The sequence below is a fragment of the Homo sapiens genome, chromosome 3, assembly GCF_000001405.40.
Source record: "Homo sapiens chromosome 3, GRCh38.p14 Primary Assembly".
Taxonomy (NCBI): Eukaryota; Metazoa; Chordata; class Mammalia; order Primates; family Hominidae; genus Homo; species Homo sapiens.
In genome coordinates, this window is record NC_000003.12 from 67173767 (window position 1) to 67195688 (window position 21922).

At 38.2% G+C, this 21922-nt stretch overlaps 1 long non-coding RNA gene across 1 annotated transcript; it reads left to right on the plus strand.

Moving 5' to 3' along the window:
- Positions 1-350: 350 nt before the first annotated feature.
- LOC124909392 (uncharacterized) lies at positions 351-4255 on the plus strand. The gene is made up of 2 exons (XR_007095955.1): positions 351-478; positions 2418-4255. It is a non-coding gene; the product is annotated as an uncharacterized LOC124909392 (long non-coding RNA).
- The last annotated feature ends 17667 nt before the right edge of the window (positions 4256-21922 follow it).

The window sequence follows — 21922 nt, forward strand, 5'->3', positions numbered from 1 at the left end:
TGGTGTGAGATGGTATCTCATTGTGGTTTTGATTTGCATTTCTCTAATGGATAGGTCACTTTTAATTAAAGAACTTAATGAGAAGAAAACAGTCAGGGAAACAAGAGTTCCAGGTGGATGGAAGAGCAAAAATACAGCATGTGAGGTAAGAATGAGGTTGGCTCATTTGAGAATCAGCAAAGGGCCTGGTGGCAGGAGTGCAGTGGGCAAGGAGGAAGGTGGCATGAGATCACATCTGAGAAGTAAGCTGGGGATAGAGCATAGAGCTTTGAGGCTAAAAAGCATGGATTTTGTTTCAGTTCTCCTGAAAGTTCCACAAAGGGTGACACTCTGCTTATTCACTCTTAAAGCTCCAGTGCCCAGAAGCCTGTCTAACAAACACCTGGCATTCACTTGAGCTCTGCTGAATAGAGAATGACTGAATGAACACCAGACCTTAAGTTGCCACCTGCTCATATCCCACTGCAAGCTCTACATGGTAAGGACATGTTCCATGGAGACAGAGTGGTTGAGATCTCACTTAAACTCTTTAGCTTAGGACTGGCTGGGCTACTAAACTGCATCTATTACCACCTAAATGAAGACACATAACAGGGAGCTAATTATAATGTGTCTTGCCCTGCTCTTGAAAAATTAAATGTTTTATTGTGATGTTACAATTTGAATTTATTATCCTTTGTTGGGGAACAAAATTAAACGTAATGAGGGCTGTTAGTCTCCTCTCAGTTCTGCCTGTATCCTGTACCTTATATCATTTTTACCACTTTGATTAATGGGTTTAATTTACTTCGACTGGGATATGTAGGAATCAGTAGGTGGGGGGAAGTTGAGACTGTTAAAATCCTTTTAATTAGACTAATAATGCCAAATCTGCATGTGTTAACAAGGGTGCACTATTAATTAGCTTTCGTAGATGGCTTCGGGAAAGGTAGCAGAGTAGCTTTGAAATATCCTTTGTGATATCAGGAAATCTATTAAGTTGACAGGCAAAGCATGACATTACATATTTCCTCAAATGAAGAGCCTTTCATCTCTGAAGACATAGAGAATCTCACATGACAGACCTTTCCCTAGCTTGTTGTGTGAGACGTCTTTTATGGACCCTCCAAGTTCATTCCTGCCCCTTCTTCGCTCTGCTCTCTGTCCTAGTGCTGACCTACATGGACCATATCAGCAGGGCTTCTCTGTGCTCTGCCTGCTGGTTGGATTTGGCCAAGAGAAGCCCTAGCAGGAGATCTGGGTATTGAATCTTTGACTTCCCCCACTTTGAGATCACCAGATTTGTCTCCAAAGCTGGCTATGTCCCTTGACCCAAGCTCATTGCTACTCAAGACAACTTTCTCTATACAAGTCTCTCTCTGCATTCTGCTAATATCTTCCCACTTTTGTTCTCTTCAAGCCTAGGGTAGACCTATCCTAGGATCCTTCTAGGATCCCAGAAGACCCTATGAATTTCTGTGCCATGCCCTTTCTCCAGATACTTGATACATTTCTCCACTCAAATAATTCTTTTATATAACTTTTCATTTTTTTCAGTAGTCTTATTAAATGTGACATTCTATGTTGAATCCTCTCTAGACATGTTTGCAGTGACTTGCTGATATTTCCAATCCTCTCTGTTAGATTGTCAATCGGTGGGAGCAGGGACTGTTTTCTTTGTTTCCCAAGTGCCCTGTACAGTCACCTCGACAGACATATGCTGAGGCAATAAATGAAGAAAGACAAGAGAAATTCACAAACACACCAAAACTAGTTGGCACATCAAGACTTCTTTTTTTTTTTTGAGATGGAGTCTTGCTCTGTCACCCAGGCTGGAATGCAGTGGCGCGATCTCAGATCACTGCAAACTCCGCCTCCTGGGTTTACACCTTTCTCCCAACTCAGCCTCCCGAGTAGCTGGCACTATAAGCACCTGCCACCATGCCTGGCTAAATTTTTTTTTTTTTTTTGGAGATGGAGTCTCACTCTGTCACCCAGGCTGGAGTGCAGTGACGCGTTCTCTGCTCACTGCAAACTCCACCTCCCAGGTTCACACCATTCTCCTGCCTCAGCCTCCTGAGTAGTTGGGACTACAGGCACCCACCACCATGCCTGGCAAATTTTTTTGTATTTTTAGTAGAAATGGGGTTTCACTGTGTTAGCCAGGATGGTCTCGATCTCCTGACCTCATGATCCACCTGCCTCAGCCTCCCAAAGTGCTGGGATTACAGGAGTGAGCCAACGCACCTGGCCGGCACATAAAGACTTTAAAAATGTTAAAGCGATAACAGAATTTAATTCTGATGAATGAAGTGGTGATGAAAGTGGGGTTGGCTGCTAACTGGACGTTGTGTGTGTGAGAGGTGGGGGGAGGGGTGGGATGGGCAGTTTTCAGAATAGGAGACAATATCTGTGAGCTCTATGCTGTCTTGTTCCAGAACTCAAACTGTGGCAAAGACGCAAAGCCAGGAGAAATTGTCTCGACAACCAAAACAATCTGTAAACTTGGATCAAGAGGACCCATCAATGACAAGAATACACACGAAAATCTTTTGGCCACTCTTGAAACAGATCATTCTAATCAACAGGCAATAACAGTGGGGACACCTGGGCCACAATAAACCCTTTCACAACTGTGCCCTTTACCTTGGGCCCTCATAGCCCCTCTGCTGGGATTTGCAAGTCCTCTTCAACAAGGAGTTCCCAAACCAAGGGCCAAGACACATCTGGAGACTGTCTCTTGGGTTTGACAGTTGTACTTTTAAGCATTCCTGCCCTTCTGGTTTCTTGATCCTTTGGCTCATTTATGAGAAGCACTGTGTAATCATCTGACCCTGAGCCAAGAACAGAGGCCTACAGAGGCCCTGGCTAATGTGGGAACTAAGCTTTCAGCTTTGTGGGCTGAGTCTGCTGAGCTAAGCAGCTTCCTAGGACTGTCAGAGGATTGGTGCTACTTAAGTGCAGTTGTTCTATTACACTCTTTTCTATGAGTTGGATGAGCCTTTGCGGATTAAACAGTTGTTTGCACTTCCCCAGTTCCACGCTGACTTTTATAACATATCACCAAAAGGTGTTTCACATTGAATGGAGTGTTATAAGGTTCCATATGGTGAGGTATGGTTTCCTCCTGCCTGGAGTTCTGAATCATTCTGCAATTTGTGTGAATCTGCTTTGCTATCAGGTAATGAAATAAAATGTACAATTGGTCAGATTTTTTTTTTTGAAAGAGCAACTGCCTACATTTTATCCAGAAGGTGCCAGATAGTGAGTAGGTTGATTATGGATGGCTGTCAAGCAGATGGCACTATGTAACAAGCACTGATTTAAAATCAAGGATGATTGTGTTCTGGGGCTCACTGCCACCACCAGTTTCCCCGAGATAATTCTCAAGTAACTCCTCTTTGGATAAATCTTCCCTGACCTCTCTACTCCCTCCCTTTCCCCCAGTCTGGGTTTGATACCCCTCCCCCCTGCTCCTGTAGTACCCTTAACTTTATGAAGTACTTGAAACAACGATAAAGTGCAAACACAATGGAAGGTAGAATGAGGATGTAAAACACTTTGATGTTTCAAAAAATAGTATTTCTCATCACTTCTAGTTTAAAGTCTCATCGTTCATGTCAATACGATCCCACCAAGGTAACTATGTTTCTGGTATTTTAGCCTCATTGATTCTGGATTCTCCTCTCTAGGTTCTTGAAGATGGGGCAAGGTACTGTCCCAACATCAGAGGAAGGATGTCCATATCCTTCTGGTTCCTGTGCTATTCTTGATCCTTACTGGCCTCCAAGTAGAAGGCCCTTGCTCCAAGGGTCCCTCACCATCCCATTCTGGCATATGGTGAGGTATGCCTGGCCCTGCCAGATCTTTGGGATGTGGTGCTGGCTGTCACTGCTGAAGTCCATGGCCCCTCTGCCACCTTCCTCTGATACCACTAAACTCAGCAAAGAAGACTGGAGATGTATGTTACACATGTGACTATTGTAATGAATTCAGATATGCTTTTCTTCTGATACAGAAAATATTTTATAATTAAAAGAAGATGGTTCCTTATATATGTGCCTTTTCAATGGCCATCAACAATTCATAGCTACAGATTCTGCTATGTCTGCATAGCAACAGACTCAGTCTGCTTATACCTTATGAATTATAAATTTACTCATGGACGAGTGTGTGTTGTTCTCTCAAAGGTTTGATTATTTAGATTCATTAAGTGTTGTACTCGAAAGAAATAAGACTGGTAACTGTATTTTAATAAAGTATTTAAATACCTAAACATGTTAATATTTTAACAGATATAAGAGTGTATTGTGCTGTAGGTACAGGTATTTATTATTGTTGTTATTGTTTTTAAATAGAGTAGGACTTCGAAAGGAAACCACAAGGAACTTTAAGTCCTGCTTTTAATCACCGTCACCTTATTTTACAAAGAAAAATATATTTCATTCATGTAAGTTGCTATTCATATTTAGTTATATATTTCTACATTATGAAGAAAGTATTCACCCTGAGGCGGGGAAAACAGAATCCCCAGTTAGCTCCTATTGAATGCCTCCATCCTGGAATACTGTACAACCGACACATGCATTGGAATTATTCATGCTGCTTGTATACCTTGGGAGATGAACACCTTGAAGACAAACTCAGAATTTCAGTAAGTCTAATCTTGATTATTATTTTTGCAATATCTGAAAGTATATGGTCAATAATCCAAACTAGCAGATAATTTAAAATGATTTAAATTTAACTGTGAAATATGTTATATATCTAATCCCCTCTAGACACAATTATGTTTTACCTACATTTGTATTTAAATTGATTTAAATACTAACTAGTGTGGGGCAAGCTAAGTTATCAGGTAAAAATGAGCTTGGAACAAAATACAACAGGCAAAGTAGATTAAAGATTAAGACACAATTTCATTTTCTATTACTCTTTAACTTCTAGGCAAGCTTACTATATTAAAAAGCCACATTTGTCACATTGTTCTCAGATAATATTTTTTTCTTTCAGATGAAAGTGACACACGAATGTTAAAAGTCACAAAATACAGCCAAATACCAACTTTTATTTCATTAGTCCATGTCCACAATTAGTCCACCAATTTGTTCCATATTTCAACCAAACTTAATAATTTGAACTTGCCCCAAATGACTTAAAGTTTCTGAACTTTGTATTATGCTTTCTTCTTTGCCAGACACACTTTCTCTGCCCTTGCCATGTGATTTAGAGCTCCTCCAAGTCAGGAGGGTGTGATAGAAATGGCTTCTGGGATTTGGAGCTTGATAGGGATCACACACATACACACACACCTCCAGCCCCCAAAACTTTGCAATAATGACCAATAATAATTGTGCCCTCCTCTAAGACAGCCATTGTGTGTGCGCTTGACATGTGTTATTGCCTAACACTTTGCATTGTGTTGAGGTTTGGAAACTGTCAGAAATATTTAAGGCACTGCCTAGGAAACAAACTAAGCTCATGTCTCAAACACCAGAAAGTACTCTATAATCTTATATTTGGGGAAATCTAAGACTCAGAGCAAGACATAAAAAATAAAATAATAATTTTAAGAAAAAGAGCTAGACAGATCATTTAACTTAAAAAAATAAATAAGCTGCAATTTATGACCCATCACTGTCTCCTACCTTAGCCTTGTTTTACGGCTTCACGCAAGTACTAAAGCATGTTTAGTCAACACAAACCTTGGGATTAAGGGTTACACACTGTCAATGGCTTAGGCTTACCTCTGTGGTGTAAATTACAATAAATCCTTATTTATTTATACTGAACACTGGAAAACACAATAGATAGAATCTGTAACTTATAAGAAAAGATAAAACACAATCTCACTAAATTTTATGAAAGACCACTGCATCTTGTCTAACTTTGAACCATCACAGCGTTTTGCTGAATCTTCTAACATGAAATTTCTTCTTGCTTTGTAGGTTTTGTTTGTCTTAATCTCTTTACTAAACACTAAGCAATCTAAAACAAGAAATGTTTTTTCTCTTTTAGAAAAAATAATGCCACAGCATTCAGCCTAGTGTCCCACAAATGACTGAATCTCAAAACTGTCTCTTGAATTGAATTTTGCCTGCAGATAATACAGACCTGAACACACTTGACAGCCATTGAAAATGCTTCTTTCCCCTCATATTTAAGAAATGGAATAGCCTAATGGTCAACAGAAAACCACCGTAACTCAAATCCTATCTCTGTCACATACAAGTTGTTTAACTTTAGACAAGTCTTTCTGTGCCTCAGTTCTCTCATTACTCAAATAGTTAAAAAAAATTGAGATGTAAATATATCAATATATGTAAGATGCCTCAGAAAGTGCCTAGAATGTAGCAAACACTTTACAAGTATTAATTATTATCATTATTATTATCCTAGTTTAACTCTCTGCAAAAATTGAGTTGAGACTTCAAAGGAATGGCTAACTAAAAATACGCATGCCTCACAAAGGATATTTGTTTCCAAGAGACCACAAATTTATAAATCTTCCTCCTCTCTTTCCCTGATGGTCAAATACATGGACCCATTTTGGAAATGTAATTTCCTACTGTCTGTGAAGGTAACACCCCTGCCTGTTCTCCTAAAGTACTCATGCAAATTAAACAGAATGAACTTATGGAAAAAGAGACAGAGTATGTAGGGCCTCTAGAGATGGCTGTCTGATTTTTTGTTGGGCTTATCTTCTGATTTCATTTCGATTTGGGATATAAGACCAGGGGTGTTTTGTGGTTAGTGTGAGGTCAAGGACAGAAAACAAATCCAGTGGACAATACTACCTCATCGGAGAGCAGAAAATCATAACAATTTAATACAGCATCAATGTGGCTGATTAACAGTCCAAAAATTAGTATTTTTCTTTTTCATTCTGATTAGGAATAAGATAGTAGCCTTACTTTGAAAAGCCCAAGAATAACAGGTATTCCACAAACAGGTTAACACTGAGTTTCTTCATTAGGGACTCCTCCCCTTCCCATCCTTCTCTCTCTTCTTTCTCTGTTTTACTGTACACCTCAACACCTGTGAGGAGATCATGTATAAGCATAAAAGGGAGTCAGTCTCCTGTGTTGTAGAATTAATGAGGTGTCCAAAGGGCCCCATCTCATTCCTTTTTCTCTAATTCCTTCTTGAATTTAAAGGCCTTGTCTAGCTTAAATACTTCATTTACCATAAAAATTACTTACTGGGGCTTTTTAACACACTTTGTTCAATCTTTAGCAGATAAAGCAGACCAAAAACTAAGGATATAGAAGAGTTGGGAAATATAATAGAAAATTTTGCTTTCATAGCTATGTGTTAAAATTTATTTCCTAGAGAGAGACTACATTTTTTACTAGGCCTCAAAGAACATCTCAACAAAATCCTGAAATTGGAAATTATATAGGCCTGGCAGATGAGCAGAGAGGAACGTAGGTAATAAGGTCAGGGTGGGTAATTTTTAAGAGGGCCCACTCATGCAAGGGTTGAGGGAAGAACCTCCATGAGGAAGGTCGGCATGGGGTAAGGGCATGTCAGTGGTGGTACACTTTGTAGAGGAGGACACATGTAAAATGGCACTATCATTTGATTACCTTCTTTATGAGTCTCTTGGACAAATACTAATGTTTCAATTACATATCACTGTTGTTTTCTCTAGCAACTTTTCATTGCAGTCTTCCCCAATGTGGTGTCAATATATTACCTTACAAAATTGTTAAAATGTGACAGTTTAGAAAAATGTGCTCTAGTGGAGCTCTTTTCCCACCATACCTTCCATTCGTAGCCATGCATCTGGGTTATTACCAAGAACTTTGACTGGGGAGGAAGAGGGTGGGACATATCTAAGAACTGAGCTGGAAAGCCAATGGAAATCAAATTTTGCTGAGCGGAGCTATTGGGCTACTATGGGCAATTCAAATACTTACTCAAAGCATCAGAAATATGACTTAAACCTGGTCTTGATTTCAGTGTTGTAGGGAAGAAAGAGAGAGAGAGAGGCAAGTATAGTCCAACCCAGTAAGAGTTATAGAAATGTTATTGGTCCAGGAAGGGAGTACTGATTGGTGAGAAATGGAAGGGATTGCTAGCAATACAGGGAAGAAGTAACTTTCTTAGCTGGTCCAATAAGAAAAGGGTGAGCAGAAAGACTGAGGGAAGAACCTTAGATAAGTCTTGCAAAGAAGAAAGACCATAGTCGATAGACAGTTTTGGGAACCCCAAAGACCTTCAAAATAAGTACTCCAGTGACTAATGACAGTATATGCTTACTCTAGCTTTCTTGACATTCAGGAGGAAACAACCAAAATCCTTTCTCTTAACAGACCTGTGAAGGCAATCTGCTTCTAAGATAGATTTCAGCCCCTAGGGTGGAAACACCACACATTTACCAAAACTCTTCAAATTCAGTTAAGGGTAGGAACATCTCATTTTTTCCTTCTGATTATCCATGGCATTCCTAGTTGTATCCTTTTTATATCATAAAAAGAAACACATTATGATTATAAAAGTAATGCATATTGAAAAAATACAAAAAAGAAAACAATAAAGTCAGTAATAACTCTGTTACCCAAAGATAACCACTGTGTGTAATATTGTGGTATGTATTGCTTTTTCCCTATACATATGTATATATTAAACAAAATTTAAATTATTAACAAAATTAGACATAAGCATTTAAGAACCTGCTATATCCCCGTATCATGAAATTTCTTCTGCAGTATCAGTCATACTGCATAGTATTCCACATTATGGATATTCTATTTTTAATGTTCTATTCTTGACCATCTTAGATTATTTCCAATTTTCACAACCTTTAACCACTTTTTGACTAATTAGACTTTCTCTGGCCTTCTTCTTCTCGTAGACAAACCCCTCAGGGTCTATTCATGGAAGCCTGGTTGGGTCTCTTCTTTTGGAGAACTAATAAATTAGTCCACACAACTGAACTTGCTGAAGGTAAATTTGGAGTTGGCCAACTTTTGCTGTATAACAAGCAGTGTTTGTGTACAGTGTCTGTTAGGCATTTTACTATCCACTGGCTAATATGTTCAGGGCAGGAACATCCCTTTCTACCCCATGGCTCTCCCTTTTCTCTACATGCAAGGAAGTATGTAACTGGGCACAGTGCTGCTTTGATCTGGTTTTCATTATGTGATAATTGTGGACTTTCTAAATTGTAAATGTCTGTGACTTTTTCCCCAGCAGTCAGACAATCTATGCTCTGGGAAAATTAAAGGGAAAAATCTCAGGTAACAAGAGGAGCAACATGAAGCAATACTTTGCTATAATCATCCTCTTACTAGCTGAGGTCCAAAATGCTGTATTGAGTGAAATAACATGATTAGAGTTAAATAAATAATGACAGCTAAGAGAGAAATCAGCTAGAAAGAAGTTATTTCAGCCTATTAAGAAAGGAGATGAGATGTTGCTCAAAGGAAAAAGGCCCGTATATGAAGAGTGTCAAAATAAAGGAATGAAAAAAGAAATAAATGAAGTCTGAAGAGCATGCTAGAAAAGGCAGATGGATAATTTTAAGCAAAATGTGTTGCACAGTGGGATTGGAGCTGAATGGGAGGAGGTTTGATTGTGTAAGCAGTTCCAGGTTTCTTGCTTTATAACAGGGATCTGCAACCTTTTTCTCTAAAGGGCTAGATAGTAAATATTTTAGGTTTTGTAGGTCAGAATATCTCTCACTCTACTACTCAATGCTGTCATTGTAACATGAAGGCAGGCATAGACACCACCTAACAAATGGGTGTCTCTATGTTCCAATAAAACTTTATAAAATCTGATGGTAAGCTGGATATAGCCCACAGGCTGTAGTTCTGTAGTTCTGACTCCTGGTTTAGATGATCAAAGTGGTGGCAGTTCCTTTCTCCATTGAATGGGACTCATATTAGTTTGGTGCAAAAGTCATTAATTTTGCAATTACCTTAATTAAAGGTGCCATTACCTTTAAGGGAAAAGACCACAATGACTTTTGCACCAAAGTTTGGTGTTTGTGAGGATTAAATAACAAGTGTGAAAAGTCCTAACACAGTGCTTAGCACAAGGTCCACACTCAAATGTTATCTCACCCACCGTCTTTCAAGTCAGTGATCATACTCCACAGGGAAGCATTCATGGCTTCAGTTAATCGTGCATATAAATTGAAGACAGAAAAACAGGTAGAAAAGAAAGACATGATAAATGAAAGGTCATTATTGATTTTGGTTTGGTTTTTCAATACATACAACTCAGGACAAATCATTAAAATGCATCTTCTTGCAAACTGAAGAAACAGAGCAAAGTACAACTACAAAAACAAATTATCTCAGGTTGATATAATTTTCATTTTCATGACAATAGGCTCATTTTCCTCATCTTTCATTGAGCTTGTTAAACTTTAAGAAAATCCCTACTTTTAAGAAATGATTTTTTTTAACAGTAGAGGCAGAAATATACTGATATAGGTGAATTGTACTTAACCAAAATTGTAAAATCGTCTATTTAACATTGTTAATTTCAGTTAAATGGCATCTCAATTTTGACTGGAAGTAGAATCACTCTGGTTTTGGTTTTTCATAGACTCTGAGTAGCACCACTGCAGGTTCTTTGAAGCATTTCTAAATGAGGTAATTTTATTTTACAAGGGGTTTCTTGTAAAAACTATTGTCTTTCTGTACATCTAATTAAAATAAAGATGTAATAAAGAATTTACTGTTTTAATTAGGGCATAGATCTTAAAGCAATTATCCTGTCATTAATAATTCCTTAACAGACTTTCTTGCACAAGATGAATAAAAAGATTTTTAAGCTGTGAAAAATCAATACACATTACTCATTTACATTAACAAAGCTACACAAAGTAATCTGAGCCTTCATTAAATTATTTCTCCTGTAAACCAGAGAAGTTTGGAGAGTTATTAGCTATTTATAACCTAGTGGAACTTCACTTACAAGAGAGAAATCTTACCCATGACTGGGCAGTTGTATCAATGTCATTTAAATGAACAGCCAAATAGGATTAATATATTAGTGAGTGGAAATAGATTGATATGGTCCATAAGGATGACTAAATGATGAAAGCTATCATCATGGTGTTATAATATGAATGATTCAGCACTCCATCTGAAAATTACATGTCTTAACAGTTTTTTTTCAGTGTTGTAATTAAAGTCCCTCCCCTCCATACCCCCACCATCTGCCATATACACATTTGGCTGTCTTTTAGGCAATGTAGCATCTAGGAGACACTAAGATCACTGAGCTTAAAATACAATCATGAAGGTATCTCAAGTAGTATTGCCAGACTTTGGTATTTTCTATAATTTCATCTAATATTATAGGATAATCTGGGAAGGGCAAAACCAAACCAAACAAAAACTCAAAATGATTTTTTTTTGTTAGAAAAGGAAAGGCTATGTTGTTATGAGAAGCCATTAAGAAGAAGAAAAAATATTTTGCAATCTAAATTTTAGTTACATTGTCCCTAATTGATAATTTGGAGGCAGATGGAAACCCTTACATGTGAAAGCAAAAGGTCCAAGACCACATATTGTCCAGTTTCCCTGCGGAAGAATTGTCTAAGAAATTAAATGAATCAATCCGTAACTGCAACAGGGACTTTGGGTCCTTGTTCCTGTCTGTGTTGTTTCCTGAGCCCATCAAGGTGACGGTTAATGGGAAGAGGTATTAACACAAGTTCTTGTTGGGTCATTTGGTAAAGCCCTCAATTAGCATGGCCAGATTTTAATGAATATTAAGTAATGATGATGAAATTAAAAGCATCCGGAAAGACAGCAGTAATCAAACCGGTCTGTGAACGTATGGCTGAAAAAGCTGTTCTGGGGTCCTTGTGAGAAATTTGCTCCAGGACCCTTATAAGAATTTAGAGAGGATTGCTCACCAATTTTTCATTATATATATATGCCTGTTTCAATATATATAAAACAGGCTTAATGGACCTCACAGTTCCACATGGCTGGGAGGCCTCACAATCATGGCAGAAGGTAAAAGGCACTTCTTACATGGCAGCAGGCAACACAGAATGAGAGCCAAGTGAAAGAGGAAACCCTTATAAAATCATCAGATCTCATGAGGCTTATTCACTACCACAAGAACATTATAGGAGAAACCATCCCCATGATTCAATTATCTCCCACTGTGTTCCTCCCACAATATGTGGGAATTATGGGAGCTACAGTTCTAAGACGAGATTTGGGTGGGGACATAGCCAAACCATATCTACCCTGGCCCCTCCCAAATCTCATGTCCTCACATTTCAAAACCATTCATGTTGTCCCAACAGTACCCCAAAGTCTTAACTCATTTCAGCATTAACTCAAAGGTCCACAGTACAAAATCTCATCTGAGACAAGGCAAGTCCCTTCCACCTATGAGCCTGTAAAATCAAAAGCAAGTTAGTTACTTCTTAGATACAATGGGGGTACAGGCATTGGGTAAATACAGCCATTCCAAATAAGAGAAATTGGCCAAAACAAAGGGGCTACAGGCCCGATGCAAATCTGAAATCCAGTGGGGCAGTCAAATCTTAAAGCTCCAATTTGATCTCCTTTGACTCCAGGTCTCACATCCAGGTCACGCTCATGCAAGAGGTGGACCCACAGCTTTGGGTATCTCTGCCCTGTAGCTTTGCACGGTATAGCCCTGCTCCTGGCTGCTTTCATGGGCTGGCGTTGAGTGTCTGTGGCTTTTCCAGGTGCAAGGTGCAAGCTCTCAGTGGATCTACCATTCTGGGTTCTAGAGGATGGTGGGTGGCCGTCTTCTCATAGCTCCACTAGGCAGTACCTCAGTGTGGGGACTCTGTGTGGGGTTTCACACCCCAAAATTCCCTTCTGCACTGCCCTAGCAGAGGCTGTTCATGAGGGTCCTGCCCCTGCAGCACACCTCTGTCTGGACATCCAGGCATTTCCATACATCCTCTGAAATCTAGGTGGAAGTTCCCAAACCCCAATTCTTGACTTATTTGCACCCACAGGCCCAACACCACATGTAAGCCTCCAAGGCTCGGGGCTCGAACCCTCTGAAGCAATGGCCTGAGGTCTACGTTGGTCTGTTGTAGCCACAGCTGGGATGCAGAGCACCAAGTCCCAAGACTGCACAAAGTAGCAAGGCCCTGGGCCTGGCCAGGAAGCCATTTTTTCCTCCTAGGCCTCTGGGTCTGTGATGGGAGGGGCTGCCATGAAGACCTCTGACATGCCCTGGAGACATTTTCCCCACTGTCTTGGTGATTAACACTTGGCTCCTCATTACTTATGCAAATTTCTCCAGCCAGCTTGAATTTCTCCTCAGAAAATGGGTTTTCCTTTTCTATCTCATGGTTAGGTTGCAAATTTTCTGCACTTTTATGCTCTGCTTGCTCTTTAAACCTAAGTTCCAATTCCAAACCATACCTTTGTGAATGAATAAAACTGAATGCTTTTAATAGTAGCCAAGTCACATCTTGAATGCATTGCTGATTAGGAATTTCTTTCACCAGATGTCCTAAATCATCTCTCTCAAGTTCAAAGTTCCACAGATCTCTAGGGCAGGGGCAAAATGCCACCACTCCTTTTGCTAAAACATAACAAGAGTCACCTTTGCTCCAGTTCCCAACAAGTTTCTCATCTCCATCTGAGACCACCTCAACCTGGACTTTATTGTCCATATCACTATAAGCATTTTGGTGAAAGGCATTCAACAAATCTCTAGGAAGTTCCAAAGTTTCCTACATTTTCCTGTCTTCTTCTGAGCCCTCCAAACTGTTCCAACCTCTGCCTGTTATCCAGTTCCAAAGTCGCGTCCACATTTTCAGTTATCTTTACAGGAGCACCACACTCCCAGTACCAACTTACTGTATTAGTCTGTTTTAACACTGCTGATAAAGACATACCTCAGACTGGGTAATTTATAAAGAAAAAGAGGTTTAATGGACTCAAAGTTCCACATGGCTTTGGAGGCCTCACAATCATGGAGGAAGGTGAAAGGCATGTCTTACATGGTGGCAGGCAAGAGAGAATGAGAGCCAAGTGAAAAGGGAAACCCCTTATAAAAATCATCAGCTCTTGTGAGACTTATTCACTACCATGAGAAAATTATGGGAGAAACCGCCCCCCATGATTCAATTGTCTCCAACTGGGTTCCTCCCACAACATGTGGGAGTTATGGGAGCTACCACTCAAGATGAGATTTGGGTGGGGACACAGCCAAACCATACCACTCCACCCCTGCCCACTCCCAAATCTCATGTTTTCACATTTCAAAACCATTACAATCAATTATTGTGATGCAATCTTGAATCTATAGCCAAATTTCCCACTTCTCAAGATTTATTGGAAAAAATTATCCCTAGTGTCCCTCAGAACTGTTTGGTTTTCTTTTTTTAACATTTAGACCTTTTTCATCCATCTCCAATGAACAGCATTGGAGTTGTTTATCTAGTAGAGTATGTATATAATTTATGACAAAGTTAATTTCAATGATCCTCAAGTAAGCGTTTTTTCAGTACCCCCCATGACTATTATAGTCAACTTTCTTGTTCTCAGAAACACATGAATTAATATTTCACAGATGAAGCACAAATAATCAATAAACTTATGAAACTGCTTAGTAACAATATTTATTAAATTAGTCAACATTAAAAAAAACCTCAGCTGACATGGGTATGGTGACAGATAATCTCTTTACCCAGTGATGTGACTGTGAATTACTTTCTGGAAAGCAATTTGCCTATATGTTACAAGAGCCTAATAAAAGTTCATACTCTTTGATCTAGTAATTCTACTTTAGGAAATCAACCCTATAGAATTAGGTTAATATTTTGACAAAGATGTTCATTTCAGAATTCTTTTTGGTAGTGAAATATTATTTAAAAGAGTATAAACATCTCTCAATAGAAAAATTGATTAAATTATGGTTATCACTGGGATATTATGCAGCTATTACAATTGTGTTTTTGAAGAATTTTTAGTAAAATGAAGCAGTTGTTAGAATATAAGAAGTTAAAAAAGCATATATATTTTTATTTTAAGTAAAGACAGAAAAATGACTTGATGGAAATATACTACTTTTTCAGTTATGTCCTTGGGAAGTGGAATTGTGGCTAATTTTTATTTTTTGCATTATATTTTTTCTGTGTTTTCAATTTTTGCATAATTTTAATGCATTTTTATTATGATTATAAAGAAAGATTAAAAACATAAATATGATTGAGTTCTAGATTAAACAAAACCAGAAGAAGCATTATTTACAAAAGTTGACTCAACCAAGACTTTTACTCTTTGGATCTGTTACATGTAACATTACCACGTTTTGCTGCCCAAGCCAGCATTCTCTTTCTCATTAATAACTTTATGATTATGAAATGAGTTATAAACCAATTATAAAAGAAAACCATTACTGCCTGATAGACACAAAATAACATTAAAGCAGAAATGCATCTATTCGGCACTGACAATCTTGATGGTCAAACTGCCTGGAAAATGAAACTCCTATAATTTAAATGTACCAAATTAGGAAACCTCACAAGAAACCCAGACACTTTGTCATTTGGCAATATGGACTGTTGCCTGGTTAACACACTAAATGATTACTAAAGCTTACAGAACAAAGACTGACTTTACCTAAAGGAGTCTGAAAGTTCAGAAACTCAAGAACATAGAAATATTAACATCTGGAAGAAACTGGATTGATGCTCTCAATAAAGAGTGGCACAACCTTAGATAAAATAACATTCATTTGATATGAGAGTTGAGTATAGAATAAAACCATACTTTATTCTGATGAATTCCAGATTACAATTTGCTAGAAGAAAACCCAGAGATTTTATTTAAGATGACTCTAAATTACGCCCAATGATTTATATAAAAAGTATTCCTACTAGCAATATTTATATTGATGAAAATTAAGAGAAAATTAAGGTTTAACAATTGAGCTTTTTTTAACATAAATTATATTTCCATAGAATCTTATGCCATCATTGAAAAAGGTGTTGTCACAGAATATTTAATGAATTAGGAAAATGTTAATAACTTATTAATAAAAATATAGTTATCAGATTGAAATCCATATATATGACATATATTCATATATATGTATGCAAAAACCACAATTTTGCACCCAAAAAATATCTCTAGGTAATATTGTCATAATTAGTTTTCACTTTCTTCCTTATTTTCTTTAGTTTCTAATTTTTTTATGACAGAAAAGGTGACCTGAAAGTCTTCCTAATCTCCTCACCTATGAACCTGTTAAATAATTACATTAATAATAAAGATATCTTCTTTAAAATATGTATTTAAAACATTGTAACTGAGGTTTAATCTCAGTAATTCTGAAATATTTATTTACGCATGTGGGAACAAAATGTTATTTTATAACTACCAGCAGATTATCTGTTAGTGGTAGTATATTGTTATCCCATAGAGAGAGAGAGAAAAAAAATAAACCCTTCAGCAGGACTTTTGATCACGCAAAGGCAAAACTTGACTGGAGTGGCCAGGAGTTGAACTGAGATTAGAGAGAGTTAAACTTTCCTGTATGATATTGCAAACATTTGTCTTCATTCGGTGTTGAATTATGCTTCTGCAGTTTTGTTTAACTGAGAGGTGAGCATAGAGCATTGGCGAGGGGGATGATGGAGAAAAGTCTGTTCCTCCTTTCTACTGGGCTAATCCAGGGGTGGTGAGGGGGTTATCTCAGGGGCTTAAGGACACCCAGATTCCACATATGCAAAACATAATCAAGGACATTATTAGTGGGAAAGATGTTCAGAAACTGTGTCCACCTTTTGAGAGCTTCCAATCTACTTTGAACTGCAACATACAGAATAACTACCAACAAGGTACGGTATTCCCACTGTCAAGAAATATTAATGAGCTAAGTTTGCAGAGGCCTGATATTATAGGAATCACCTACAGGATTAATGTCCACTTAGCAGTTATGGCAGAAAAATATTCATCTCTTCTTCCTCATCAACTGACATTATCTCCTGTATCAACTGCAAATGCATTTAGCTTCGAGTACTAGCAAACCCTACTAAGAGTGAGTCAAGTATTACAGACATGTATTATGCCATGGAACAGCAGGGCAACCCAGCCCCTGGCACTGGCTCAGCTATTTAATGATGTCTTCCCAGATTCTTCCTTTCTTTCCACCCTGCTATCCATAGCATGCTGGATTTTTATCCCTGGGTTTGCTGCCTCATGTTTGCAAGATGGCTGCCAGATCCTGACATTATATTTGCATCCAATGCCAGAATAAAAAGAGAAAGAGACAAGCGCAGTTGCCTTTTGTAATAAGAAAACGAACTTGCTCCCAAAACTATCATCCTTATCACCAGCAACTTTCTCCTAGATATGGCACATGACCACCCCTGACCAAATGAGTGGCTGGGAAAGCATTTCATTTGCTCCAGTTTTCTGGGAGGTGGTCAGGAATAGTGAGGTTGGAAGTGACGGTATCCGAATGGGGTCTCCCCTACTTCTCCTTGTGGTTTTGGCATTTACACAACAATTTTTCCCTTATTTCTAGTTATTCTTACAGTTACTCCCTGTAATTGTTAGAAAACATTTCTATTTTGTCCACTAAGTCCAGGCATATAATCATATAAAATTTGGTAACTTGGAATATTTAAACACAATGACAATGACAAAACTTACTGATGGTTTTGTAAATCAGAAAGCACAAAAGCGCGGAGAAGATAACGTCAAAAACATTTCTTTCTAGTATGGTGATGGGGAGATTGTGGAATGGGGCATTGCCTGAGTCCCATAATGTTGCCAATGTTATCTTTTATCTGCTTCCCCTGTTTCATTTACTCAGGACACTGAGAGGGCATAGCTGCTAGAGAGATGAACCCTCTTGCTGGAAACAATGCATACCCAAGTAATAGTTTATATCAGTGTTTTTCAAGTTTTTTCAATATTGTCTGCCTAAGGAGACCTTTCAGATATTTTTTCCTGATTGCCTTCTCCATAAAATTTTAGTAGACAGATATACAGTCAGCCCTCTGTGTTTGTGGGTTCCACATCTGTGGATTCCACCAACTAAGAATTGAAAATATTTAAAAAGAAAAACTGTGTCTGTACTGAACATGTACAGAGTTTTTCCTTATCATTATTACCTAAACAATACAGTATAACTATTTACATAGCATTTACATTTATTGTGTATAAGTTACCTAGAGATGATTTATACAGGAGATGCAGGTAGATAATATTCAAATACTATACCATTTTATATCAGACATTTGAGCACCCATGGATTTTGTTATTTGCAGGGAGGCCTGGAACCAATCCCCCACAGATACCAGGGAATGACCGTACTGTATACATGTTTATGCCTTGGATGTATATCTGTACTTTATACATAAAATGAATATGATTCTCTTGTGCCCATCTCCAAGCCAATTTTTGCTCTCTTGGGAATAACATTGCCCCTCTGAGAATGCATAGTCTCTATCATGAAGACTTCCTCTCAAGGATGGATGAATAAAGGGAATTAAGAAAAATACCTGAAATGATTCTTGAAGAATGAAAATAACTACATAGAGAGACAGAAGGAAAAAAACATCAGACGTTTTGGGAATGCAGAAATAAAGCTGAAGACATGTGGGATTGTTATGAAGGTATCGGGGATGAAGAAGTGACCAACTTAGGTGGGGTCACAGCTTTAGGTGAGGAGTAAAGAGAAAGAGTCCTCCAGCATGGCCTTTCTCAGATTGTACACTCAAGGATCTCAATGCCAGCATCAAGAGTATGAATTGTAACAAATGAGGAATTCACTAAAGGGAAGTGAAATCATCAAGGAATTGTGGCTTGGGGTTGGGGGATAATTTCCAATTTGACTAGTTTCCACATCTTTATCTTTATTTCTCAAGACAGCTGCTTCCAGGTTACAATAAAAGAGAGTCTACCTAAAGAATCTTTACTAGTTCAGTAAGAATCTCTCTAAATTCCTATTGCACAAGAGGAATCTAACTCCCACAGATAAACAATGACTGAAAGCAGCACTTGAAGACTAATCGCGTAATAAAAAAAGACTGGGTCGGCCGGGCACGTTGGATCACGCCTGTAATCCCAGCACTTCGGGAGGCCAAGGTGGGTGGGTCAGCTGAGGTCAGGAGTTCGAGACCAGCCTGGTCAACATGGTGAAACCCTGTCTCTACTAAAAATACAAAAATTAGGTGGGGGTGGTGGTGGGTGCCTGTAATTCCAGCTACTCGGGAGGCTGAAGCAGGAGAATTGCTGGAATGCGGGAGGCGGAGGTTGCAGTGAGCCGAGATTGTGCCATCGCACTCCAGCCTGGGCAACAGAGTGAGACTCCATCTCAAAAAACAAAACAAAACGAAAAAAATGACTGAGTCAGGGAAAAACTATATGAATTATCAAATGGCAAACTCTCCCTCAAGCTTCTTCCTACAAGGAAAACACCTAGAAGCTTCAGCATGAATTAAAGTTGTGTTGTGTTTTACTTTTCTTCCAAAATGGTCATAATTAATTTTGTTGACACAAATACACAAGATGTTAAAGACTAATGGCACCATGTTGGTGAGAAGACAAACCCATTCTTGCTTAATACACTGGAGAAAGATGCTCAGATCATTCAACCATGTGAAAGCAACCTTTCTTGTACTGCAAAGTCAGCAAGACCTCTGCTAAAAACAAACTAAAAAGCTATTGCATAAATGCAAATACATACATTAGGGTCACATTATGTATCTAATTTAACCAATATTTCAGACAAAATTGTGTAATAAAAATGAATGTGAATCTTGTAAAGACCTCTTTCAATTGCCCTCTCCAGTGTTCCTTCATCACCCTTAGAATAACTCCAACTTTGAGACACACACATACACACAAACACAGGATGGAATAATTTCTAGAGGTGTACATTAAAAATAAAAGTTAAATCTGTCTTGGGGATCAATGAATTAACAGAGATAGATAAACTCCTTTTGTCTTAGCCATAATAGATCAATAAAGTAAAAGAAAGACATTTTGGTAGATTTTTCTCACTGAATTTATTGACTTTTTTAATGTTATGAAGAAATGTAGAGATTATACTGTGGGATTAGTTGATCCTTTTTTCTTGAGTCTGGGAAACAAATCTGTGTAAGAACTGTGTCATGCAAAACTCAGAAGCACCTAGATCTTCCTTTCTGAATAGACAAGGAATTGTTAAATGAGACGCAGTCTCTTTTTACCCCATGATCAAAATGTAAGACTTGTAAATGGGGTCTCAAGTTAAAATTTCTTAAGTTTAAAAGGGGATTCCCTAAATTCAATTTAGTATCCTGGAATGAATCCCAGAGAAAGGGCATTAGTGGAAAACTGGGGAAATCTGAATAGACTTCCGAAAAGCAGGTTGCTGCTTTGAGTATTCTTTTTCTTTGAGTTTTGCTAATTTGATCATAATGTGCCTCAATAAAGTCTGTAGTTTAGTTAATAAAAATGTATCATTGTTAATGTCTTAGTTCTGATAAATGTTCCATGGTTATGCAAGATGTTACCATTATAAGGGAAATGATGAAAAGTATGTGGGAGCCTGTGGAATAGGCTTTTTCTGTAAATCTAAAATATTCTAAAATAAAAATTTGCTTTAAAGAAAGCTCTCTCTCCAGTTCACTCGTCTTAGAGAATACTCATGGTATTCATTGGAGTAAACCGTGTTTTATGATCACCCTAACACATTAGGGGTTATTTTGTTCTTTTTGTATATAGAAACATTTAGTAAGTATTTACTGGATTCCATTGTGCAAAGAGCATAGCAAAGATGTCCTGGATTTAAGAGTTGGAATCTTTGCATTTAGATTCATTATGAGCCGTGAGATCCTGTGCAAGTCATTTAAACCTTTAGCAGCTATGCCTCTCCACTTTAATTCCTTTTGGGATAGGAACCCCATTTCACTCATCCCGGTAGCCTTCAGTAACCTTTTTTGGAGGAAATATGGGACAAGTGACAGCTTCAGAGTCAAACTTAGTTTAAAATTCCAGCTGCCCCACTAACCATGCATGTTACTATGGGCCACAGTGTTTAACATTTTTGAGTTTCAGTTTTTTTCATCTGTAAACTTTTGAGATGATGAAATGAGATGATACACGTAGAACACCCAACAGTGTCTAGCACAAACCGGAAGATTAGCGTGCTTCCTCTATAGAACAGCACCTTTCCCATGGAATTTTACTTATTTTTAATCTCGAAACACTTTTCTAGTACTCACCATGTGGAAGACCCTGTGCTAAATGTTTTTCAAATAGCAACTCATTTGATTATCTTAACAATCTTATGAAGGTTTTATCATCCCATTTTACAGATGAGATGAGGAAATTGAGGCATAAAGAAGTTACCTTATATGCCAAGATCTAACAACTACTAAGTGGCAGGACCTAGAATCTGTACACACACAGTACTCCTCCAGGGTTCGTATTCCCCAAATGCTAAACTTTCATAGATCATATTCTACCAAAGAGATGCATAGGCCCACGAGGGGCTTGCCTTGTTTACTGTAGTCTGCCAACAGTGCCAGCACAGAGTAGGTGTTCACACACACTCTGACTAAACGAATGAATGCATAGCAGTCCCTGTATAGACATGTGCTGATTCAAATATCGGCCAACCCATTTCCCTGCATCTCCAGCATCGCAGCAGAAAGGAACTAGCCTTCTCCATGAGCCTATGTTTTAGTTCCTGTGTTTGAAACACTAGACTCTCATTCAAATCTCAAACCATCCTATAAGGGGCATGGGAATACAGCAGGTGCCCCAGAACAATGTTTCAGTCAATGAACTGAATACACAACAGTGGTCCTACGAGATCACAATGGAGCTGAAATAGTCCTGTCACCTAGTGACATTGTAGCCATTCTGCTGCTGTAGCATTACTCACTTGTTTGCGGTGATGCTGGTGTAAACAAATGTACTGAGCTGCCACTTGTATAAAAGTCTAGCACATATAATACGTACAG